Genomic DNA, 25,016 nt, shown 5'->3' with positions numbered 1-25,016 from the left:
CCAGCACACTGCCCCACCTCATCCCCTCCCGGCTCTTGCTCCTCCTTGCAGCTTGTCCTCTGGCAAGGTGAGCCCCGAGAGCATCCGCACGCTCCGAGCGCCGTCAGAATCCTCCGACGACCAGGGCCAGCCCGCGGCCAAGAGGATGCTGAGCCCCACCCGTGAGAAGGAGCTGTCGCTGTACAAGAAGACCAAGCGGGCCATCAGCAGCAAGAAGTACAGCGTGGCCAAGGCAGAGGCCGAGGCAGAGGCCACCACGCCCATCGAGCTCATCAGCAGAGGCCCTGACGGCCGCTTCGTGATGGACCCTGCCGAGATGGAGCCCTCGCTGAAGAGCAGGCGCATCGAGGGCTTCCCCTTCGCCGAGGAGACGGACATGTACCCCGAGTTCCGCCAGTCGGACGAGGAGAACGAGGACCCACTGGTGCCCACATCTGTGGCCGCCCTGAAGTCCCAGCTCACCCCTCTGTCATCCAGCCAGGAGTCCTACCTGCCACCACCAGCATACAGCCCTCGGTTCCAGCCCCGCGGGCTGGAGGGCCCCGGTGGCCTGGAAGGTCGGCTTCAGGCCACAGGCCAGGCCCGGCCCCCTGCCCCCCGGCCCTTCCACCATGGCCAGTATTATGGGTACCTCAGCAGCAGCAGCCCTGGGGAGGTGGAGCCGCCCCCGTTCTACGTGCCAGAAGTGGGCAGCCCCCTGAGCTCCGTCATGTCGTCCCCGCCCCTGCCCACCGAGGGGCCCTTTGGCCACCCCACCATCCCCGAGGAGAATGGAGAGAATGCATCCAACAGCACGCTGCCCTTGACTCAGACACCTACAGGAGGGCGCTCCCCTGAGCCCTGGGGCCGGCCAGAATTCCCCTTCGGGGGGCTGGAGACCCCAGCGATGATGTTCCCCCACCAGCTGCCACCCTGTGATGTGCCCGAGAGTCTGCAGCCCAAGGCCGGCCTCCCCCGAGGACTGCCCCCCACCTCCCTGCAGGTGCCCGCGGCCTACCCGGGCATCCTGTCTCTGGAGGCACCGAAGGGTTGGGCAGGCAAGTCGCCCGGCAGGGGCCCTGTCCCAGCGCCCCCCGCCGCCAAGTGGCAGGACAGACCTATGCAACCTCTGGTAAGCCAAGGGCAGCTGCGACATACAAGCCAAGGCATGGGCATACCTGTGCTGCCTTACCCCGAGCCGGCTGAGCCGGGGGCGCACGGCGGCCCCAGCACATTTGGCCTGGACACCCGGTGGTATGAGCCCCAGCCCCGGCCCCGGCCTAGCCCTCGGCAGGCCAGGCGCGCCGAGCCCAGTTTACATCAAGTGGTGCTACAGCCCTCCCGGCTCTCACCTCTGACCCAAAGCCCCCTCAGCTCCCGCACCGGCTCCCCTGAGCTCGCCGCCCGTGCCCGGCCTCGCCCGGGCCTCCTGCAGCAGGCAGAGATGTCAGAGATCACCCTGCAGCCGCCGGCTGCAGTCAGCTTTTCTCGAAAGTCTACGCCGTCCACAGGCTCCCCCTCCCAGAGCAGCCGCAGTGGGAGTCCCAGCTACCGGCCCGCCATGGGCTTCACCACTCTGGCCACCGGCTACCCTTCCCCTCCACCCGGCCCCGCCCCTGCTGGGCCTGGGGACAGCTTGGACGTGTTTGGACAGACGCCTTCCCCTCGAAGGACGGGGGAGGAATTGCTCCGACCGGAGACCCCACCACCCACGTTACCTACTTCAGGGTGAGTGCGCCGCCTCTTCCGCCACCCGCACCTGGGCAACTTCCTTCCCCCACCCGCCTCGCCCTGCCCTCCACCCCGTCCATCCGCCCGGCGACAGGGCTCGTGCGGACATGCCGCACCGGCGTCCCTCGGAGAGGAGTTCTGGCCGCCGCGGTTTGGGCGGGGTGCAGTCGCTGGGGCGCAGCGGGCCCACCTGCCCAGGTGCCCTGCCGGGAGCATGAGGCGTCTTCTCCGGCAAGCCCTGAGCTCTCGGCGGGCGCACCACCTACCAGGGAGCGGCGGATCACAGCGCGTGCCCTTGCGGGGGTGGACCCCGTCCCTCTTGGAGTTGACGGCTCTCCGAGTCCCTGCGGTCCTGGCATCGGGCAGGGGTCCTGGGGGTTGCCCACACACCTCGTGTCTAGCCTCCTTTTCTTCCCCGGCCCCTGCTGCTTGCTAAGCAGGACCCCGGAGCCTGACTTCTCCAGACCACCAGGCCAGGGGCCTCCTGTTCCCGAACTCCTGGCCCTTAGCAGCCCTAGTGAGCGCCGGACTCCAGCCCCCTCCTCAGCCTCTCCTGGAGGCCCAGAGAAAAGGGTCAGGCCTTGTGACCATGTGCAGGACACGTCCCCCACCCCCCCCCCGTATACCTCGCAGGAAGCTGCAGAGAGACAGACCAGCTCCCGCGACCAGCCCGCCTGAGAGAGCACTCTCTAAACTGTAGCAGCTGGTATTCCAGGTACCAGGGCCTGGACGCCTGCCTGTGCCTCTTCTTCTCTCATCCTTCTTCCCTGCCGTCCCCGCTCCTCCTCCCCCTGCCCCTCCTTCCTTCTCCAGTCAGTCTTTCTCTCTCCTATCTTCCTTCCTCACCATCGCCTTTGGGTTCGGAAGAGCCGGCCACGCCTCTGTAGTGCCCCCGGATACCCCGTCCCCCGCCCTCTTCTCTCTCTCTCTCTCTCTGGCTCCGTCCTTTGGTCTCTCTTCTCGATGTAGCCGCCTGTGGAGGGAGCAGAGAGTTCCAGAGGAGGCTGGCCTGGTGGAAGGCAGGATGGGAGGTGGTCGAGGAGGAGGGAGCCCAGCGCCCTCCCCCTGCCCCGTCCCCCACCCTCCCTGGTACCTGGAAGTCCAAGGTCACCTCCCACCCGCAGCCCCACCGCGGGCTGCTCCGGGGCCGGCCGAGGAAGGGGGTGCGGGGCTTAGGGCGCAGGGAGGTGGAGGAGCCGCAGCCGCCGCCTGTGCGCGGAGGTGCCGCGGCCGCCCTGTCTCTGTGCTTTGTGCGCGCTCAGCTCATCTGCTTCCTTCCATCGTGTCTGGGTCTCCGTCTCTCTCCTCCTCCCTCCCCCACGCTCCGGCCTCGCCTGTCCGGTGCTCGCTGTGCCCCTCCCTGCTTCCCTCTGGGTGTGCGTGGGCGGTGCCCCCCGGCCGGTGTTGGTAACTGCTTTGTTTCTGATTGATCTCAGCTATCTGGGCAGTGTTGTCGAGACAAGCCTCTCCTCAGCTCAATAGGTAAGGGAGCTCCTCGGCTGGGCGGGCGGGGGCGGGCAGGCGGACGGGGCTTCGGCCGGGCCATTGCTTCCTGGACAGGGGATCCAAACCATGTCCCCTCACCGCCCCGTGGGGTGGCCGCTGCCGCTCCTCGATCCCCACGGCTTCTGGGTTCCCCACATCGAGCCACGCTCGGCACCGCCTAGCTGCAGCTTCTGCCCCCCACCCCCCGTCCCCATGTCCGGCCCCTCTAGAGCCCCCTGCGGCTCTCCTCACTCCTCGCCAGCCTCGCCAGCCTGCTGCCAGTACACCCAGGGCCTCCCACAGAAGCCCTGGGGCCCTGCATGCACCCCGAAGGGGCCCAGAACACCCGAGATCTGCTTTGCATCTCTGCACCCTTGGGGACCTCTCTGGGGCCCCTCTGGTATCCAGGAAGAGCCCCCCCGCACCCTATTCTCCCAGCAGCCCCAGGCATAGCATCCCTTCTCCTGGGGTGGCTGGCCCCTCACCAGCTTCTTGAGATCTTCGTGGTATTAGGCTCTCTCGAGGAGTACAAGGTTGGGATGAGCCCCACTTCTTCCTTGACAGTGGGGTCCTCTGCAGGGTCAGGTCCCTGCAGTCCTATGGGGCTTTGTAGCGAAATGTCATCACTCCCCTGTGCTCCTTGCCTTCTGCAGCCTGACCTTGGTAGTCACAGGACTGAAATGTGACCTAGCCCTTGGGTCCACATTGCTTTCAAGGTCCCTGTTGTAGCCTTGTCGTCCTCCCTGGGTCATGCTGTAGGGAAAGGGTCTTAGGAGGACCTCCCCGAGGGGAGGGGGCAGGCTTCCCCTGGGCAGACAGGCATTGAGCTGGCAGGAAGTGAAACCCCCAGGGACCAGCACTGTGTCCCTCCCCCTGCCCCCGCAGTCAGCCTCTCCTTGAGTGTCCTTCCAGGTGGAAGCTAAAGGAACTTGGGCATTCAGGGAGCCTCTGAGTCCCTCACAGAGACTCAGGGCCACCCGAAGCTCGCTCCCTCTCACAGTAGCCTGACAAGGTGCTGCCGCTCGCCACGGACCCTCTGCCCTGTGCCTGGGCACACACAGGCATCGGGCACCTGCATGGGAGACGGCGAGCCTCCCGTCCAGGTGCTTCTGGCTTTCCAGGCGAGAAGGAGACAGGTGCCTTCCCCCCCTAGAGATGTCAAGGGAGGTTCACTTTCCTAACCAGGGCTATAAATCTCATTCATTCCTAAGAGTGGCCTCCATAAAGAGGACTGCCCTGACATTTCTTTACCATCTGTAGCTATAAAATTGTCAGCAGCCCAGAGGCCCTGGAATTGTGGGTGAGGCTGTCTGGCATAGGGTGAGTGTGAGGGCTGTCAGGCAGCGTTTATGAGCTCACCTGCTCTGGGGCCCTCCTGCGCCCAGAGACCCACTGGTCTTCCACCTTCCCCAGCTCCCTCCCTGTCCCAGCTGTGACTCCTCCACAGCCCCCGGAGGTGTGGGAGCCCTAGACTAGCTCTCACCCCAGCTCCTGGAAATTCCTAGACTCTGCTCTCATGTGTTATTCCTCACCCCTTCACTCAACTCCATTGACCCTCTCCTTTCCCAGTGTCCCCACTGTGCCAGATCCAAGAGAAGCCCGCTCTCCTTTCACTGCTGTGGCAAACCCAGAAACCAGGGGCAGCGATGAGGGACCATCGTTTCTCTCCCGGGCCTGGCCAGCATCCCCAGCCTAGGAGAAGGAGACCCTCCCCATCCTGAGTCAGCCCCTCGGTGCTGGCCTCTCCTGCCTGCTGGGAGCCTCCCCGGTACGGCTGCTGGGTCCTGGGGAGATGCAGGCTCTGTTCAGATGCTGTCTCCATGCTGCACCTTTGCATGTGTGCCCTCTTGGTCTTGCTTGGAGAAGTTGTGACAGCTCTTGTCCACGTGCGTTCTCACTGTTTCTTTTCCCTTCAGTTCCTCTCCTGTTCCTTTGGTCCATATGTAGTTGTTGCCCCTGCCTCTCCTCCTTTCTCTCTCCCTTTTTTTCTCCTCTTCCCAACTCCCTTCTCAACATGGGGAGTTGTATTGCGTGGACCTGTCCTTTCTGTGGACTGTGGGGAGGCCGAGCCAATTCTTAGCTCCTGTCTGAGCCTAGTGATGCCCTGTCCTCACCTCTGCTTCCACTCCCTTTCCCATTCAGGCTGACTGTCACCGCAGGGAGGCAGGTGGGTCTGGAGCATGGAGTGGCCCCTGTCCTGGGTCAGCTGTAGGAAGGGGCCCCTTTGTAAACAAGCTTCTGCCAGGTTCTGAGGCAGAGCACTGGTCTGAGTCCGGCCCCACAGAAGGGTTCCATCTTGTGGTCAGCGGGGTGGGCTCAGACCTGCAGACTCCCGCAGTGGGCCCACCCTTTCCCTTGCTATGGCCCGTCTATGAGTGGCTTTCCCCTGCCTCCATCGGTGTATAATCAGGCAGGTGGTGTTTGCTCTTAGGTGATTAGAAGAGGAGGAAAATGCCCATCAAGCCACTGCTTCAGCCTGTTGGCCAGGGAACACCTGAACAGGGTCAAAATGGTCAGCTCCTGGGCGCTGAGCTAAGGAAATATGCAGGGGGTTTTGACTTTCCCTGTCCTGAGGCTTGCCTCCACTTTGACCTGGCTGCATCTTTCCTCAGCTCTTCTGGGTAAGCTGAGAGCTAAGCAAATAAGACCTCCTGGGCTACCTGGTCATGATTTGGGTTTTGTATGGATTTTTTGAAAAGAGAGAAAAAGAGTGTGGGCTGGGTGCCGTGGCCCAGAGGGCAGATCTCTTGAGTCCAGGAGTTCAAGGCCAGCCTGGGCAACATAGTGAAGCCCCATCTCTGCAAAAAAATACAAAAAAATAGCTGGGCATGGTGGCACATGCCTATAGTCCCAGCTCCTTGGGGGGCTGAGGTGGGAAGATCATCTGAGCTGGGGAGGTCGAGGCAGCAGTGAGCCGAGATTGCGCCACTTCACTCCAGCCTGGGTGACAGAGACCCTGTCTCAAAAAAAAAAAAAAAAAAAAAAGAGAGAGAGAGAAGTAAGTTCCAGGCAATTGTTGGTAGTTCTGTACTGCAAAAAACACCTCTGTGCCAAGGCTTTGAGGCCCTCATCTTGGAGTAATCCCCTGACTTCCTGGGAGAAGGGGAGCCCCAGGGTTCGTAGCATTCCTGCATGCTTTAGAACAGTGTAGGCTGGTTGGGAAGAGAACTGTGACCTTAAATTCTTGGAGAGCCCAGGACTGGCTTCTGGGGTAATGGCATCATCTATGGATCAAGCTTAGATTTACCTGACAGCTGAATTCCAGGGATAGGATGGAGTTGCTTCACTGAAGCTTCCCACCTGAGACATTGGCACCAAGAGCTCCATGACCAAAGGGCCCCAGGTGGGGCTGGCGTTGGCAACAAACATGGTCACCTTCCTAAAACAGGGAGGCAATTCGATTGCACAGGGCTTTACGTGCTGTTGGTAAAGTCTGTTAGGTCACATTCTATGTGTCTTTTCTGTACCATGTGCCAAAAATAGACTCATTTTGCCTGCCCTGCTTCCTCCCTCCTGTTCTGCCAGACACCAGCTTTTGTTTTTTCCTCCCACATTGGGTGAGGGTCTTGGTGTGTCCAGAGCCTTCTTTTGTCCTGTGGCTATGCTTCGGTGCTGAGCCCAGAGCTAAACAGGTGGACAGCAGGTGTCCCGGAAGGGCTGGAGCTTGGCTGTTTCTCAAGGGAAAATCGGCTGCTTCTGGTCACTGGATCATTACTGTCTGGGAATTTTTGCTTTGACGATACAACTTAAGCAGGCTCCTCTCCAGCCCTGGTCTGTCTCACCGGGGCTGTTCCACCAAAGCACAGAATGTCAGTGCTCGCCTCAAGTACGTTGCAAGGCAGATCTATTTCTCAGGTGTGGCGGGGATGCCATGCTTTTCTTCTTTGTAGCTGCTATACCTTTGTGGATTGGGAAGACGCTGGAAGGGCAGTGGAGAGGTGAGCCTAATGTTAAGAGTCTTGGCTCTTTCCCACGATGACTGGATGATTCGACAGGTTGCTCACCTCTCTAAACTTCAGTGTCTCCATCTGAAAAATGGGGGCATTGTAGTATCTACCTCTTAGGTTTGCTGTAGAGATTACAGGCAATTATTGTACAGCAGTGCCTGCTGTGGTAAGTGGTAAATCAATGCTAGATGATAAAAATGACAACAGTGATAAGATGTTGATTCTAACCATCATATCACCCCTGGAAGTTTCACCTGGCTTGAAGAATCCCTAACAGTTTTCAGGGCACCCTGTACCGGTTTCTCTCGTGCCCCAGCGGTCGCCCTGGATGACATTGGAGAGCACTCTTCTTGCCGGTCATGCGCCTCCCTGACCACACGTCGCTCACCCTGTGTGGTCCTCCTGAAGAGGCCGGCCAGGAGACAGAGATCGACTGAACAGGTGGATTCACATTAACTTTCCTTCTAGGCAGCATGAAGAAGCCTCAGTTGAGGATGAGAAGGGGTGAGGATGTGCTATCCACACTGGGAAGGTGTGCTGCCTCCCGCCCGGGCACCTGCACCCTTTGTCTGCCTTCCCGCTTCCTTCCCAGCTGCTGCTGCGCTGTAGGATCTCTCTGGGTAGACTGGCATGTTTGGCCACTTCTTCACAAGAGGGCTGTGTGTGCCTGTGTGTGCACCTGAGGGACCCTGTGTAGCCTTCTTAGCTCTGCTGTCAGGGCTATGGAAAGTCAAGAGGTTGACCGTGACCTGAACTTTGAGGGAGCCTTTTGAAACTTTATGGACTAAAGGACTAGAGAATGATGACATCCCCCAGGAAGATGGAGGTCACTGCATTGCCAGTGCATGCAGGAAACCCCAGAGACCAGAGGCTTATCTGCAATTAGTGTGTAAGTCTCCTCTTCCCGCCTTGCTGCCAACATATTTGATGCTGGGGAGAAGAGACTGCAGGCTTCCTATCCCTCTTAACATTTTTTTTTTTAACCTCAGACCGCTTGCTGACCTTTGGGGTCTTCTTTTGCCCTCACAGCATTGTCTGTCCTACCTCTTTTAATCAGGACTTTCCAAAAACTGTTTGCAATGGAGATAGGGGAGGGAGTTGGGGGGTCCAGGAGAAGAAGAGCGAGGCACGCCTGTCCGCCGTGGCCCCAGAGCGTCCCTGCTTCTCTGATCACGTGCTAATGCCAGCGCTGGTGGGAAGACAGAGTGACCTGTCTTTTTCTCTTTCCCCTTCATTCCTCAGGCTCCGAGTTGGGTTACTTTGAGAAGAAATGGCATTGAGAACATGTCTTCTAGGTTTTCCTCTTTTATGACTCTTGAAAGATTCTCTCCAATATGCACCGAGTGTCACAGACTGCCCCTCCTCTCAGCTCTCTTGGCTCCCTTGTGTACCTGGGCTGCCTCACGGGTGTGGCCAGACTGTGGACCCTGTCCTAACCGGGCAGTTGATCCACCAGGCAAGTGACAATCAGGATGCAGGAAGAGAGGCCAGTACACATGGTCTGTTCCAATAGCCTCGTTTCTCTGTCGAATCCTAAAATACAGAGGTTCACCACGTTCTTGTTACAGACAGCAAGGGCTCTGGGAGGCTACCAGATTTGGTTGTTCTGCTGTTATCTCCTGCCACTTTCTCCTGTTCTCTTACATGGCCGAGGAGAGCTGAGCCTCGTCTGCAGGGTCGAGGAGACACTGCCCTGAAAATGTTGGTATATGACAAGTATTTGTTGTTGTTAGCTGCTGCTGTTCTGCGGGAATCTTGCAGCTGCAGAAGAAGCTGGCAAGGCTGGGTTTTGTGCAGCCTGTCTTACTGGGGGTCGGGTTTCTCACTTAGCACCCCCTTTTCTGGAGATGGAGGATGATTCACTGGGATGGGAGCTGCTTGCCCCCTGCTCTAATATGCCCTTTTACTTTCCATTCAAAGGTCTTGATTGTGGTGATTTCTAGGAACTCCAGACGTTCAGCCTACTTCTGTCTCTGACACTAAATGCATCCCAGCTTGCGTTACATGGGAAGGTGCTTACTATTAAAATCTCTCTGTCTGCCTTTGCTAGGGTCTTCTGATTGCTCTGCAGGTTGGTTTCCATCCGAGGTGGGCCATGCTCCTGGAGCTTTCTACTGGGTTTTCTTCTTTCCAGGAGCAATAGAAAGGCGGGTGTCATGGAGCCATCGTGGGCACCTTGGGCTCTGTAGGACTGAACTCTGTCCTTCTGTGGGTCAGCTACTTGGCTTTCTTCCAGCCCCTCTTCCAAAGCCTCACACATCCGGGAGCTGAATTGTGGCTCTCTGGTTGTCCTTTCCAGAACACTTCCACCTGCACCCGGGAACGCTGCTGCGCCTGAGAGGCTGGAGGCTCTGAAATACCAACGGATAAAGAAGCCCAAAAAGTCATCCAAGGGCTCTTCGAAGTCAAAGAAACGATCCGGTAAATGATGGGCAGTGGCCCGCCCCGCTCCTCCCACCTTGCCTTGCCGTTGTCAGGAGGGTTATTGGGCTGCCGTTGTCAGGAGGGTTATTGGGCTCAGGGCCCCAACCTTGGGCTTTCTCTAGAATTGAATCCACAAGCTTCTCTTGTCCTTTGTTTCTTTTTTTTAACACTATTTTTCAAGCAATACACAAACATAATTTTCATATACAAAACGAGAAAGATAAGGGAAATCTATCTGATTGCCCTTCCAATTTGTTTCCACTCACCTGGAGAACTGTCGTTTTCAGCATGTGTGCCTTTGGAAACTTTTCTGTGCCTACAGCTTCAGAAAATGTATCCTATTATTTTAGTGTGTTTTCAAACAACACAAATAGTACAGATCTATTTTTCCACTCTGCATTTCACCTTGCACATAACTCTATCTCCTTCCTTACTTCCCCTCTATCATTTCAGGCCTTCTAGTGAACAAAGGCATGACAGGACCCCATGTGGACCTCAGGGTACACTGCAGCCTGGGCCCAGCCTCTGCAGGTTGGCTACACCCTTCTCAGTGAGATGGAGTGAAGCCTCCTTACCCCACAGAGAGGATGCCTCTATCGAAGTATGTCCGATGTGTATCTAGCAGGGATAGGTAGCTTCTGAGTGCAAAACGAATTTAGCCCTCTTAAGGACTAGAAAATTCTTTAATATTTGTTAAAAACCCTCTTTTCATGAATGGTTTTAGGAGTGTTGTGGCAGTCTGTCAAGGAAGAATGCTGAACAGTTGCTTTGCAGAGCTTTGATAACTGTTGTAGAGTAACTCTCTTTATAGACAGGATTATGGGAGAGTGTTATATAGAAATTCAAAGCCCCATGAATCTCTGGGAGACGGTGATCACTTATGATCACTTAGCCTTTGGCTGGTACTAGTATACTTTCAGTTTACAGATGGAAATACTGAGGCAGAGAAAAAGAAAATGATGTTTTTAGGGCTTGGGTTAGAAACTGGAGCTCAAAGCTGCATTTTCAGCCAATTAAGCCCATTGTTAACCCATTTAAGACCCATCAATATATAGTTTTTATATATGTATAACATATATTTCTTTATTGCAAAAAAAAGTCACATCAGAGACCTGCATTGTCTCTTGTTCTGATGGCAGTGGTCCTGTTACCAGTTCTGTGGTGGCATCTTCCAAATGTCTGTCTTTAGCCCAGGTCCCTTCCCTGAGGTCATGGCTGATATTTCCAGTTGCCAGCTGAACGTGCACTTGGGTGTTTCATACGCCTTTACGATGTCTAAAGCAGAGTTATTGATCAGCCTCTCCAGGTCTGCTTCTCCTCAGCTCTTCCTCGGTTTAATCACTAGCACTGGTACCCACTGGGGTGTCAGGCCCCTTAATTCCCAGATTCTTCCCTTGCCTTCACATCTTACGTCGAGCCCGCTAGGTAATGCCTGTTAGCTCAGCCTTTGCAACATATCCTGAATCTGGCCACTTTCTGTTGTCTCTATTGCTAACTCTGTGTTCTGAGTCACTGTCTGTCCCACCTTGACTATTGCAGTACCTCGTGGCTGGTGTTCCAGCCCTATCCTTGTACCTTGCACCGTGGACTCCACACACAGCCACCACGGCGAACTGCAGGACACGTAGCGGCATCCTCTCTTTCAGTTACGAACACACACGTGCAGGCGTGTGTGCACATACACAAACACACACACACTTCTGATTAAAACCTCCCCATCGTAACCAGATTCCCATCGTAACCAGAACAGATTTCAAGCTCCTAGATGCCCTGCCTGTCTTTCTTGCCTCACTCTTTTCCAACTGAGATGACCTCCCTTCTGTATCGGGGACACACCACATTTACCCTTAACTTGGGGCTTGCACACATGCCATTTCTTCTGTTGGGAATAATTTTTCTTCAGATCTGTGGAAGGCTCATAATTTAAGATGCAATTCAAGTGTTAACCCTTTAAGGAGCGGAGTAGTGCCTCAGTTGACCCTATTTTATCTTTGTAGTATTTTCAGTAACTGCAAATTTTATTTCTGTGTTTTTAAAGTCTTGACAGTTTGTCTCTTCCTCTGCACCCTCACATGGATGCATAGTCTTTGAAGCTAGCAAAGGCATTCCTGATTAATCTCCAGAAGGGCCATGAGGCAGAGGAGAGGCCCAGGCAGTCCAGGAAGGGTCAAGGCCTGACCGTTGCATGCGATTAAAATCTTGTATAAAGTCGGTCATTGCTTGGGGCAGATGAGAAAGATGTCCTGAGTCCCAGCCTGTTCCTTCCTGATCCCCAGTCCCTAGAATGATGCCTAGTACTCAAGAGGCACTAAAAGAAATATTTGTAGACTGATCGAGAAAGAAATGAATGAGAAGGAAAATCCTCTCCATTCCACTTTCTTAACTCTTATTCAAGTGAAAGGAGCAGGGTCAGGTTGCTGGTTGTCTTGGCGGAAAAGAAGGTGGTTTCTCTGCAGCAATTCGGTCTGGTCTCTCTAGACTCAGGTGATTCCTTTGTTTCAACATTAGAAACCCGGAACAAATGCAGGTGGAAAAGGTGAGCAGGCTGCGTGCTTCCTTTTCATCCGCTTGCTTCTCTTTTGCGTCCCTCTTCCTTTCTTCCTAGACGATTCTGCCTCCCAGACTCAGCAGCTTCCCAACTCTCAGGTTCTGTGGCCCGATGAAGCTGTCTGCCTCCGAAAGAAGAAGAGACATTCTCGTCCTGACCCCTTTGCCCGGCTCTCAGACTTGTGCCACCGCCAGCTTCCGGAAGACCAGACAGCGATTCTCAACAGTGTGGACCACGATGACCCAGGACATGCCACTTTGCTGTGACTCCACCCCACTCTAGGTGTCCCCGGGGCGAGGTTGCTGGGCTCAGGCAGGGAGGGCCACTGTGTGGGGGTGTGTCCTCCTCCGTCTGCCAAGGGCGGCCCAGACCTTTGTCCTGCATGCCCCCTCTTTTGCCAGAGCGGGTGTCTCCCTCCAGATCCTGGCCGCCTGTCTTCAGGACGGAGGGTGGGCACACCTTCCACCTGTGGGTCGAGGTCAGGAAGTGGATTGGAGACTGGGCAACACCTGTCTCCTCCCCTCCGCCCCCTGCTTCACTAGGTTGATTTTTCTCATCTCTTCCAATGTCTTTGGAAGTGAAGAGGAAAGCAATGGCTTTTACTGCTCTCTGCTTCTGTTTCAGTTTTTCAAGTCCTGGAAGAAGGCTGGACTTAATGTCCATCTTCCACACCCCACATATATATAGATATAGATACAGATGCATATGTCTGTAGTGTGTGGGTTTCTCTATGTGTGTATATATATATATATATATGTACATTGAGGCAAAGTGCTGTTGCTCTCTGTGGTCAGTGGAGGCAGGAGGAGGAGGGCAGTGGCCAGCTGGGGTTTGCGAGCAGGGCTGGCTGCACGTTGGCCAGGTGCCTGACATCTGTCTTGGGGGATTCTTTCTCCCAAAACAAGATCCGTGTCTCTCAGCTGAATTCTCCGTGTGTCTCCTACCTTCTCCCACCCAGAGCAGAAATGGGGCCTTGCTGTGATTACCGGCTGCCTTCTATGGGGGTTCAGTAATGAGTTACTGCAGAACTAAATTCAAGCCTTTGTTTCTTGGTTCCTGGGTGAAGAAGGGGTGGCCAGGCTCCTAGACCTGCATCTTTCTTCCTTCCAGCGTGGCTCACGCTGCAGGAGTAGAGGCTAACTCAGCCGCGGGGCTAAAGCAAGCCTCTGGTGCACATGTCCAGCGCATCCGTCGGCGCCCTTCCGCCCAGCCAGGCCGTGAGCTCTGTGGCCAAAGTCTCCCCACTGCGGAGCCACCTGTGCTAGCGCCAAGCTGCCGGCTCTATTTATACCGTCCCCGGCTCAGCACTCTGTGCAGTGCTGTTCCACAGCGGCTGATTGGATCCTCCTTTGCTTTTGTGGGAGCTAATTCTCCAGATTGATTAATTACCACTTGTGCGGAGCCGCCTGTGGCTTTCCCGCACTCACCACGTGCTGCCTGCCGACTCTTCTCTGCCCCGGGGCCTTCGTCCTCCGGTGGACCTGAGCTGCAGGGGGATGAGCTCAGGTGAAGCTAGGGCGCCTCTGGCTGCTGGGGCCTGGGACGCTCTGGATCCTGCCCTCTTTGCCCAGTTCTATTCTGTGGCTGAGGCGTAGGAATGAAGGCGGGAGGGGTGGTGAGTAGGGTCTGGGCACTGACTCTTCCTCTGCCAAAGTCTGGTCCTGGTTCAAACTCGTAGCATCCAGAAGCTTCCTGAGATCATCTTCCCACTAAGATGTCTCTCTGCCGGTAAGATATGGTGCTGCCCAAGGGCAGGGCAGAAGGCCCCGAGGGCGGGGTGGAGGGGAGATCTGCCCCTCCCCCACTCTTGTGTAGGAGCCCCCCTTCTGGCTTGGCTTAGAATGAAGGTTCCTTGAAGTATTTCCTTCTTGGTGCTGCTGTCTTGGTGGGTTTGGGGGCACCCACCTCTCCCGAGTTCCCTGCTTGGACGTGAGCCACGGCAGCATTGGATGGCTTCTGCTGGTCTCATGCAGCTGCCATGGGCTTGGCCCAGTGACCTCGCAGGATGAGGCCTTGGATGGCTGCTGTCTCTTCTTGGCGTTTCCATCTTAGGGGATGGACTTCTTCTGTGCCACACCGGCCCTGGTCCTTCCTTTCACCCAGGGAGCTGAGGACCAGCTCCACCCTTGAGGTTTACCGTGCAAGTAACACCACCGCAGTTCCTTTCTGAACACATCTGAAGGGGTCATGGTGAGAGAGGCACGCAGGGGCTTCTGAGACTGGGCCGTGCACCCTTGGGGTGGAACCTGGGCCTTCCAGTTGATGTGCTTCTCTGGGGCGTTGGAATCCACTTGACCACTGGGCACCAGCTCTGCGAGATGGAAGAGCACACAACTCTTTGTGTTCTTTTTTCCAGGTAGCACACCCTCTGCCCCCGCGTCGTGATGTGCTGCTCACTTGGGCGTCTCTCCTGGGGGATGACGGGAGCCGGCTTACCTGAGGTGTTGGGGTGGGAGGTGGGGGCTTACCGCAAGCTGACGTGCAGCCTTTATGCACTGGCAGTGTGAGATTTCTACCCCAGAGGAGCTCACGGGGCTCAGCCAGGCCCTGGGATGCACTGGGATGTGGGCATCAGGCTGTCAGCCTTCAGGATGAATTTGGCCTACTTTTCTGAGCACCCTCCTGGGAATTCCAGCCCTCAGGTTAGAAAAGAAGAGGAGATGATGAGGTAGAAGGCTTTGCTTCTTTCGGATGTCATGAGAGGCTGAGATGCTCAGGCCATGGCTGTGCCTTCCAGGGCACCCCCGTGCTAACCCAGGTGCTGACTCCTCCTCCGCTTCCTCTGGCAGTGCCCATGACCTCAGCACGTAGACCCAACGCGGGGAGCCGTGCTTTTCGCTGGTCACCGAGTGGCTGCTGTGCTGTGGCTTCCCTGGCTAGGGCAAGGACGTCAGGTCTGCCCATCTCTCAGTGGCCTGCCACTCATTCAGCTCCCCTGAGGGCTTCCTCCTGTGACAGTGTCCTCGGAGGCCAGCAGCCCTCCTGCAGCCCGTGGACGGCGATGGGATTGGTGGAACGCAGTTCCCTCCGTGGATAGAGGGTGAAGATGTCACAGGCACAAGTTTAGGTGCTGGGTGTGGGCATGTGTGACAGCGTGGTTGTGAGCATGTGGGTGATGGGGGTGTAACCACCTCTAGGGACCAGTGTCCTTCATAGTCTGCCTTTGAACAATGGCAGTGACTACTGATCAGCTTCTTAGGACTTCGGCACTCACTCTGTAGGAGATCACGCCTTCCAAACTTCCCCTTTTACGGTCTGGCGGCCTTGCAGTAGACACGACTCAGATGTAAACCTGCTTCTGTGTCTCAGATGTCTGTCTGCCTCTTCAGCATCATGGCTGAGAACTGTGGCTGTTGTAGTGTCAGGTGACCCACAGACCAGGAAGAGGGGAAAACGGTTCTTAGCGGGGCCTGGACAACTGCATTTGCGTGGGGAGAGAAGATGTACGACGAGGCAGAGAGGCGAAGCCTGTCTTGATTTGCTGGTGGGCTGCCGTGGGCTCCCTGGTGCTGAGCGGGGTCCTGTGCTGGATTGTTGGGGTGGCTCTGGGCCCAGCATCTGGGAGTGGCCCTGCCTGCTGCCAGTCTGCCTCTAAGCAGCTTCCCTGGAGAGACTGGGGGTAGGACAGGCCTTTTGAGATCCTACTTTCTTAGCAGGAAGGACGCCTTTTTCCCAGCAGGCTGGCGGGGTCTGTGCCCTCCTTTGAGGTGCTTAGTCCCACAACCATGCGCTTGGGGGAAGACTGAAGCCGGGTGGATTGAGCCGAGTATTTCTTGTTATTTTTCCATGCTCTCTGTCTTTATTTTTGATTTGTGATCTAAAATATTTGGGGTTGAACTGATTTAATTTATTCCTCTGCCCTTTTTGTGCTGAGGAAACTGGGGTAAGGTTCAAATGTGAAATTTTCTGATTTTATTTGGGGTGGGGGACAAGGTTGACGAAACAGTAGCTTCTAGGGAGAAACAGATTTCACGGAGCCTCCAGCATCTTTGGCACTGCCCACGATCTGAATCTCCAGGGCTGAAGACTGCGTGGCTGGAATCTGTTTCTTCCTATTTTGTTAGCAAAAGCCTTTTCCAGGCTTGGGGGTGGGGTGGGGGAAGAATTGTACATAAAGTACATTTTATTAATCTGTAGAGAAACCTAGGAAAAGAAAAGCTAATGGTTAATCTTGGGCTTGCTTTGCTTGCATGTAAAGGAGCTTTGGGGGCACTGCAGGGATGGCTGGGGAGCTGCAGGAAGGGGCAGAGGGTGGAGCTGAGCGGGTCATGGAAGGCTCTGTTGAGTCCAGCCTCTGTGGTACTCTAGGAGCTGTGCACATTCCCACCGGGGCTTCTAACCCAGCCCTGCCTGGGTATCTTCTTCATATAAAGTGGATCTAGTAGGCAGTGTGTAGAGCCCCATGTGGCTGTGTGTGTTGCTTTAGGGAGAGGGCCAAAGAGGTGCCTTATTGGCCAGCTCTAGATTGACTAGGGTAATGGATGGGGCACTGGTGTTTCAGGAGGGGGAGTTGGAGAACTGGAGGGTGGAGGGGAGGCCTGTGTGCTTTGCCAGGTGTTGGTGAGGCTGGAAGGGGCACAGAGGGTGAGGTCAGGCATGGGTTAGGATGGTGAGACCACCCCAGGGGACACCAAGCCTCAGCATCTCTTTGAGTCATGTGATAACTTAGTTACTTGTAAGGGTGCAGGGTACACACTGGGGGATCATCCCAAGATGACGAAGAATGATTGCCTGGTGGGCATCTGGCTGGGGAGTGGTAGCCATGCAGGGCATGTGGGAGGGGGATCTGGGCATCAGGGACGGATTGTGGGGTGGGGTCCTGCATGTGAACGCAGACTGGATCTTGGGAGAGGTCTTGCTTCTTAGCTAGATCTTCCTTGCTTCTTCTAGAATTAGCCTCTAACACTAAGTGCCCAAACCAAACATGGACATCTTCTTTATATTGTATTTCAACTTCATTTGTTTTGGGGGCTCCTCAGGCCCAAAGCTGAGAAACTTGTCTTGAGATGCCCATCCTATCACCAGCTCTTCATCAGTGGAGAAGGAAGTGCCATTCTCATTTTCCTAAGCTGCAGCGGTGGGTTGCCTCTCCGTCCACAATCTGAAAATGTTCATGGGCCTTGGTGATGGTGATGGTGATAGAGAGGGGGAGCTGGAGCCTGACGTGCCTTCATCCCCCTTTCCTCTTGAGGTAGAGAGGCTTCCTTCCGGCCATGAAGTTGCACAGTGGCTTCGTGAGGCCTTCTCTTTACTTTCTCTTCTTTTGATAGGCTAAAGTCACTAGTCTGTGGTGGAGGTGGGAGGGCAAAAGAGTTTCACCTGAAACTCTTGGCTTGACCAGCCATTCTTCTCTCTTTAATGTCTCCAGCTCTGCTTCTTTTTAGATTAAGAGGCAGAATGAAAAATCTCTTCTTTAGAAGAAGTCAGTAAACCAAGGATCAAAGCCCAGATTGGACTTTCGCACTCTTACCAGCTTGCTGTTTGGCTAGGGGTACCAATCACCACCCTTCCCTCTGACTGCGAGTGAATCCACACTGGTTCAGAGCCTTATTTCTGGGTTCCTGTCTGTACTCTCAAAACCTTCTTTCAGGAGCAAGTATAATAACCCCACCAGATGTTCTGTGTGTTGGGTTGCCGAGAAGGTGGAAGTTTTTTTCAACCTCATTTTAAGCTGTTAGAAAAACACTCAGTAGATTGAATTTGGTCCAAAGACACCACCATCCCCTGAGGGATCCCATGTAGGATAAGGATAAATGAAGCATCCATACAGGGGTCATTAATGGCTGCTCACATCTTAGAGAAGGAAGAGTCTGGGTATCTTGGTTGCCATATACTCTGGTGGAACAGTGGCCAGTCATTAAAATCACATGGGTGTTGTCTTCTGCGGTGTAGAAGACAGTAGTAGTAGTTAGGGTTTCGGACGAGAGCTGGTGAAAAGCTACCGGCTTTGGAGCCCTGGCTGGGAGAGCTAGATTGGACAGTTTTAACCCCGTGGCTCAAATGCTCAGCTCCTGTCACTGGTCCTTGGTTGTCACCATTCCCATCACACTAGATGGGGACGTGAATGGCTGCCTGGGCCTGCCTTTCTTTCGGGTCTTGAAGAAGTGTGCTCCACCAATCCTACCTCTCTGTGGCACTGGATTTCCTGGATTTATTTTGCGAACTAGGGCAGGTTCTCCCTCGCCACCCCGTATACACACCAGTTAGCTTCCCTTCCCTTTTCCTTTCCCCACTTCTGTATGGCTCCAGGGATCGTGAACATGTGCGTGGTTTACGATGGGGAGGTGGTGGGAGGGGCAGGGAATCTCGGAGGGCAGGGGGTTGGGCTGGGGAGGTGACTTGCATTTTCGGCCTTAGAAATGCTGCGGGCATGCACGTGTGGGGTTTTCATATAAGCCATGGGAGGGGCGAGTGCCCAGCCCTCCTCACGCTGGTGGTAGAACCCAGGGCTTTGGCCTCCTTTTGGCATAGTGGTCTATGAAGCTGTATTTCTGGTGGAGGGATGAGCCTCCTCACGGTCATCTTGCAGTTCTTGAAAGGGTAGTTGTCAGCCACTCTATCAATGAGGTTTTATATGGCCTCCCATGAACAACGAGAGGTGTGCCATGGCCGACGGTGTCCTGGCAGGGCTGGAGAAGGGATTGTCTCATGTGTCCTTCTGCAGGCACCAGGTTGTCCCCCTGGTCTCTAACCCCCAGCCAGCTGTCTAGTCCAGTGTTTCTTTTCTGGATTCAGGAAGTAAGTGGGGTGTGTGTGTGTGTGTGTGGGGTGTGTGTGTGTATGTGGTGTGTGTGGTATATGTGTGTGGTGTGCATGTCTGTGTGTGGTGTGCATGTCTGGTGTGTGTGTGTGTTGTGTGTGGTGTGTGTATCTGTGTGTGGTGTGTCTGGGTGGTGTGTGTGGTGTGGTGTGTGTATTGTGTGTGGTATGTGTTGTGCGTATTGTGTGGTGTGTTGTGTGTGGTGTGTCTATTGTGTGGTTGTGTATGTGTGTGGGGTGTGTGTGGTATGGTGTGTGTGTATCTGTGGTGTGCGTGTATGTGTGATGTGTCTGGTGTGTGTGTGTGTGATGCAGTGTGTGTGGTGTGTTGAGTGTGGTTTGGTGTGTGTATGTTGCGTGTGGTGTATGCTTGTGGTGTGTCTGGTGTGTTTGGTGTGTGTGTGTTTGGTGTGTGTGGTGTGTCTGGTGTGTTTGGTGTGGTACATGGACTGTGTGTGGTGTGTGTGTGTGCTATGTGTTTTGTGTATTGTATGTGGTGTGTTATTGTGTGTGGTATGTGTGTATTGTGTGTGGGTGTGGTGTGTGGTATGGTGTGTGTATGTCTGGTGTGTGTGTGTGTGTGATGTGTCTGGTGTGCATGTGTGTGATGCGGTGTGCATGTGTGTGATGTGTGTGTGTGTTGTGTGGTTTGGTGTGTGTTGTGTGTGGTGTGTTGTGTGTGTGTTGTGTGTGTGTGTGGTGCGTGTGTGGTGCGTGTGTGGTGCGTGTGTGGTGTGTGTGTGTTTGTGTGTGTGGTGTGGTGTGTCTGTTGTGTGTGGTGTGTGTGAGAGAGATTTGTACAGACATGCTGATTTGCCTGCGTAGTGTCAGGCCCAGGAGACCCTCCTTTGTTTGGCTCTTTTGCTAGACAACTTCTGTTTGGGTAGGAGGGTCAAATTAGTAATGCACCATCTTTAATGTATTTTTTATGGAGACTGTACATAAAATTATATAAATCTACAGAATTGGTTCTATTTTAAGGAGAGAGGGGAATGTATGTGGGAGGCAAGGATCAGATGCAATCGTGGAGACTGGGAGCTTCGGGCGAGTGGCACTCGGGTGTGGGGAGCGGGAGGGCAAGAGATGAGTGCCGGGCAAGATGGGCAGGGGCCCGTGCCCTCTGCACACATATATAAATATAAAGAACACCTAGATAAAGTCTATATATCTCTATATCTATATGAAGTCATAGTTTGCTTTATTTTTGTACCTGTGCTTAGAGATGTTTTGAGCAGTGCTACCTTCCCAGGCAGTCTGGGATACTAGCTCATGCCTTGACGCCACCTCCTTCCCTGCTCTTCCTTTGGTATTCTCTCTGTTCAGAGTTGCTTGGGTCTTTCTGATGGAAATGTGTATATATGAAAAGTTTGTAAAATAACAAAACAAATAACCCACCTGCAGGAAGGACAAGTGAGCTGAAGGTTGTGTGGAGCTGCAGGATCTGATAGCCCTAAAGAACCAGGACCAATGTGTCTCTTGCCACTTGGGAGGGATGTTGACTTGAACTTCTTTGCAGAGGGGCTTAACAGGGCAAGGCTGAGGAGATGAAAACTGTGACTCCATCCCCACGTGGCTGTGGAAAGGTAACCAGTTCCTCAGAGAAAACCTGGCTTCACAGCATTAGAAAGGGGGTGGTTGAGACTACCTAGGGACCTACGGTGACACCTGTCTTGGTTTGTAGCACTGTAGCTCAGACAGCTCAGACCGCTCATAGAGGGCATGGCAATGGGAGAGTTTGTGAGGCTGGCTGCCTGGGCTTGGTCTTGGAGAACACATGGCCTGTTTAGTGTTGCTGCAGATTCTTAGAGCCAGTGTGAATGTGGTATGTAGTATAAATATGTCATCTATGTTTTTTTCAGTTATTTTTAATTGGAAATAAAGTGCCATTGCAAATAGGATGCTCCAATCCTGGGACACTGAGTGGAGGATGAGGAGGGAGAGATGAACTGTGGGCCGGCCTGGGAGAGGGGGTCTTAGTGGAACCTTCCTTCTGGCCTCCAGCCGGGGACTTACAAAACTGAACAATGTATTGGCAGAACTGGACCCACAATGGGAGATTCTGGGGAGCAGGAGTTCACTTGTATCTGAGCAGGAAGCAGTGTGCCCTGAAGAATACCTCTCTGAGCAAATTCCAGACCTCACACATATGCAAGGGCTCTGCCTTGCAGCCTCAGCAAGCGTCTCCTGGTGCTAGCTCCTTCCTGACTTGCCCGGAGCTCGGAGTGATGTATTTGAAGCTGGTGCTGGGCCAGATGGTGCAGGCAGTGAGGAGAGACTCAGGACTGCAACCTTTCGGCTCCTTATTCCTGCTCATCACTCAGAAAAGGGCAGTACTAACCCCTTTCCTAACCAAGACATGGCACTCCCTAAGAGCTCTTGTCTATAGAGTTTGGTCCTTAGAGGAAAGCAGATACCTTCAGCGTGAGAAGGGCTTGGTTGACAGTTTTGGGGTATTATGGGAAGAGTAGGTTGGGGTAAAGCTTGAGTCTAACTCTTGATCCTTACATGGACCTATGAGGCCCTGCCATTCAGTCAGGCACTGTCCTTGGGTCCTCAAATTAACTGCTGAGAACACTCCCCACTTTCCGAGGACGCTGATGGGAAATGGGCTCTGTCCATGCAGCTGGAAGGATCCAGTGCTGGTGCCACTGTCAGTGGCACCATCCTTGCCTTGAATGATCTTTCTTGCAGGCTCCTGCAGCTGAGTGTTTCTTGTAAGATTTTTCAGGGGGATTGGGCAAGAAGAAGAGGTGCAAATTCTGTTCCCTTCCTACCTTGAAGCCTTCCCAGACCACCACGGTCTCTGCACAAGGGAGGCTCCCATTACTGTTCTGTTGGCTTCTAGACCCACCATCCCCTCTCTTTCTGTGGACTCTGCCCGACTTCTGGCCACATGCAACCAGCAGAGTAAACTGCTCCAACACCTCGGGCATGTCCTAGGGCTTGCCCTCCCACCAGGGCCAGCCCAAGATTAGGTCCTCAGCAGCATCAAGGTCTGGGAGAGCCACTGGCCCACATGTCACCATTCTATTCCTCAGCCTCCAACAGGACTCTTCATTTTGGGGAGGGAAAGGGAAGATGGGGCCATAGCCCCTACCTTGAAATTGTACAGTGTGGAGGGGATGTTAGTGCCTACCTGTGACCTTTCTGCTCCACTGCTCAGCAAGATGAGGTAAGGTTGGGTGTCAGAGGGGACCTCCAGCTTCTCTGAAGAGCCAGCCCTTAAGGCACTTGGAGCAAAGGTCATTGAGATCAGCTTTATGTGGAGTAAGGAGGAGGCCTGGGAACCGCTTGTGGCATCAGTTGGGGCGACAGGTGGATGAGTGTGCTCTGATGGAGCTTTTACGGCCCACAGCCACTGCCAGGAGCCTGAGCTCTTCCCCATGCTTGGGACACGTTCCTTGGTCCCCACAGCAGAATGGACATTGAATTTTGGTGCTTTTCCCTTTGGTAGAAGGTGGAGGTATCTGAGGAGTTGTTTCTGTCTTGCTACCTCTGTCTACTATATAGAGCAAGAGTCGGGAATAGGGAGATGTGTGAGAATCACTCTCCCATGGATCAGTGTGGGCCCTGTCCCTCTTCCCCACTGTCACCAACCAGCAGCTTGGGGAAAAGGCTCTGTCGTGGATTTTTGCTGCCTGCTTCCCGCTTCCACTCTTCTTGGCGGTAGATGTTCATGGTGATCCACTTTGGGCGGTCTGAAAGTAGGAGGTGGGGGAAGAGGCAAGCCTGCACACACACTTCCTGTCCACAGGGGGTTGCCTGTGGCATTGGAGGGTGGAGTCTCAGAGTCCAGGGACTGGGAGGAAGGTACTTGATGGGATGGTCTTGATTCTGGAACTTTAGACTGAGGTGTTAGAAAGGGGAATTGTTGGCTAGGGGAGAAGAGCAGTTTAACGCTCCACTTGCTAAGTCGTCTGTATCAGTGTCAGAAGGTCTTGACCTCCCATTCAGATTTAATTTCCTAACTGCCAGGTGTGGGGCTGGGGATAGAGGGCCCAGAAGGGGGCGCAGTCACTGACGTGAAGGGACCACATCCCGCTTCATGTCAGTGACTCCTGCCCCTTGGTCTTCAGTGTTTTTCTCTTCCCCAGGAGGGACTTTGATCATGCAGGATAGAATTCTCCCATCGCACACCTGGGGGCAAGTTTTAGATGAGCTTCTTTCCTCCATTTCACCTGGTGGTCTGAGGACACACAGAGGGTGGGGGTGAGCAGGCAGTGTGGGTGGGGAGGGGCTACCTCCCCCAGACCCCTTACAAACTCTGTACCTCTCGGTGCGCGGCAGCCTCTTGCTGTAGTTCTTCTTTTCTGGATATGACTGTCAGTTTCGTCATGAGATTTCTTGCTCTCATTTCGAACTCTTTCTTTCTTCCACTTTCTTTGGGGGCGACCCCCGATCCATGCCAGGTCTTCCTGTGAAGACCGTTCCAACCTCGTTTCCATTTCTTGAATGTTGAGTATTACAACATCACTGCGCTAGGGTGCTTCATGGTGCTGTTCTCGAAGAGGCCAGTTGGGCTGAATCTCCTTCCTCCCACTGGCTCCTGATATCTTGCTGTATTTTGTCTTCTTTCTGATTTTTCCCTAGGGGTTTGGGGTGGGTGACTTAGGGGCGGCTTTTGTGTTCTCCCTCTCTCTCTCTTTCTTTTCTGTATGTATGTATGGACTGGTTAAAGTGAGTTTGGGCAGCTGACTTTATGGTATGGGTTGGCTGACTTTTGTTCAACATTAAAGACAAACCAACAAATTGTACAGCTGCACACAGAACACCTTTGAGTGTGAACTTGAATGGCAACTAGAGGCTTACTTTTTGAACTTCAGGTATGTAACTCAAAAGTAAATAAAACCACTATTTTTTCAGTAAGCTTTTTTTTCTTCTAAAAGATGACTTAGAAATCAAACTATAAGAACATGAAATCGGTGCTGTACCAAAGCCTTATATGAACATATTCTACACTCTGTATAACCTGTCTGTGAGGAGCTCCCTGCTCTATCACCCTCTTCTCAAAAGCCTGGGAATGCCAGCGCGTGCCAAGCCTGGGGCTGGGTCTTGGGGACCTGTGGGCCAAGGGCACCCTGGGAAGTAAAAGATGACGGTGAGGATGGGACACCCTTCTGCTGCCTGAGCAGACTGCAAGGAAACCAGATGTGTGTGTGTGCGCGCACCTGCATATATATGTGTGCATACCTGTGCGTGTGTGTGCGTGTGCGTGTGTGCACGCAAGAGAGTGAGAGCGGGAGAGAGCTCACAGGTGCACAGTGTCATGGTGAATGTACTAAGTACGAGCTTGAAGGGAGGCCCAGGTTGGCTCTGGGAGTGGGGCGGTGTGGGAATGAAGGGGGGATGCTCTCTCCCCTGTTTTCTGCCTCCTTCCCTTCTCCGTCAGGGAAGGGAGGTGTATTGGAAACAGCTACACTCTCAATCAGGTGCTTTTTTTCCCTCAAAATCTCCAAACTCAAAGCATTTATAAGGGGCCCTTCCAATGGGCAGGCACCCCCAGCCACCAAATCACAGACTTCCAAGAGTAGGAGGAACTGTCTCCTCCCGAACCCTTCCTTGCTTTCCTGGGGAAGAGGGTTCTTCCTGCAGGGACCCTGGGCATCCTGCTGCTGGGCCTGGGCCTATAGACTGCCCTGCCCCTTCTTCCCAAACACTGAGAAGACCCCGCTGGAGATGACCCCAAAGCCACGCCTGCTCTACGGCCCTAAGCAATAGACGCCTGCCCTGGCTGCTGATGATGGTGATCCCTTTGTCCTTTGACTTGGCAGTCAAAAATGGAGTGACACCCCAGACTCAGTCAGGAAGAGAACCTGCAGCCTGCCTCAGCTCAGGCTACCACGCCAGGCTCCACTCGCTGGTATTTCCAGGCTTGCTAAGTACTAACCAACTCATCCCCAGTAACACTGCATGTTCATATCCTGAATTACAAATCAAAATGAGCAAACACGTGCATAAGCAAATGAGAAAAAAGAAGGCACACATCAAATGATGAGATGTGCAGCCAGTGCAGGTACCCCGGGAGTGTTGCAAGTTAAACTGATGAAAAGACGTTTAGTATTTAATTGCTCCTCATGTAACATTACTCTGCTTCAGAAATGTTTTGTATTTTGATATAAATAAACATTTGCTAAAAAAGTTCA

At 54.1% G+C, this 25,016-nt stretch overlaps 1 protein-coding gene and 1 non-coding gene across 2 annotated transcripts in view; both read left to right on the top strand.

The window, feature by feature from the left end:
* The window catches only part of IGSF9B (immunoglobulin superfamily member 9B), a 60,531-nt gene extending 35,520 nt beyond the window's left edge, over window positions 1-25,011 (top strand). The window contains exons 18-20 of the mRNA NM_001277285.4: window positions 52-1,707; window positions 9,442-9,563; window positions 12,172-25,011. Of these exons, the coding sequence (NP_001264214.1) occupies window positions 52-1,707; window positions 9,442-9,563; window positions 12,172-12,380 (1,987 nt within the window). The 3' untranslated portion in view covers window positions 12,381-25,011. The remainder of the gene's footprint in view (window positions 1-51; window positions 1,708-9,441; window positions 9,564-12,171) is intronic.
* MIR4697 (microRNA 4697) lies at window positions 22,868-22,945 on the top strand. The gene has a single exon (NR_039846.1). It is a non-coding gene; the product is annotated as a microRNA 4697 (primary transcript).
* Window positions 25,012-25,016: the final 5 nt, after the last annotated feature.

This window comes from Homo sapiens, chromosome 11 (assembly GCF_000001405.40).
Source record: "Homo sapiens chromosome 11, GRCh38.p14 Primary Assembly".
NCBI lineage: Eukaryota > Metazoa > Chordata > Mammalia > Primates > Hominidae > Homo > Homo sapiens.
The sequence above is the reverse complement of the archived record's forward strand: the minus strand, read 5'-3'. Positions and strand labels throughout refer to the sequence as shown.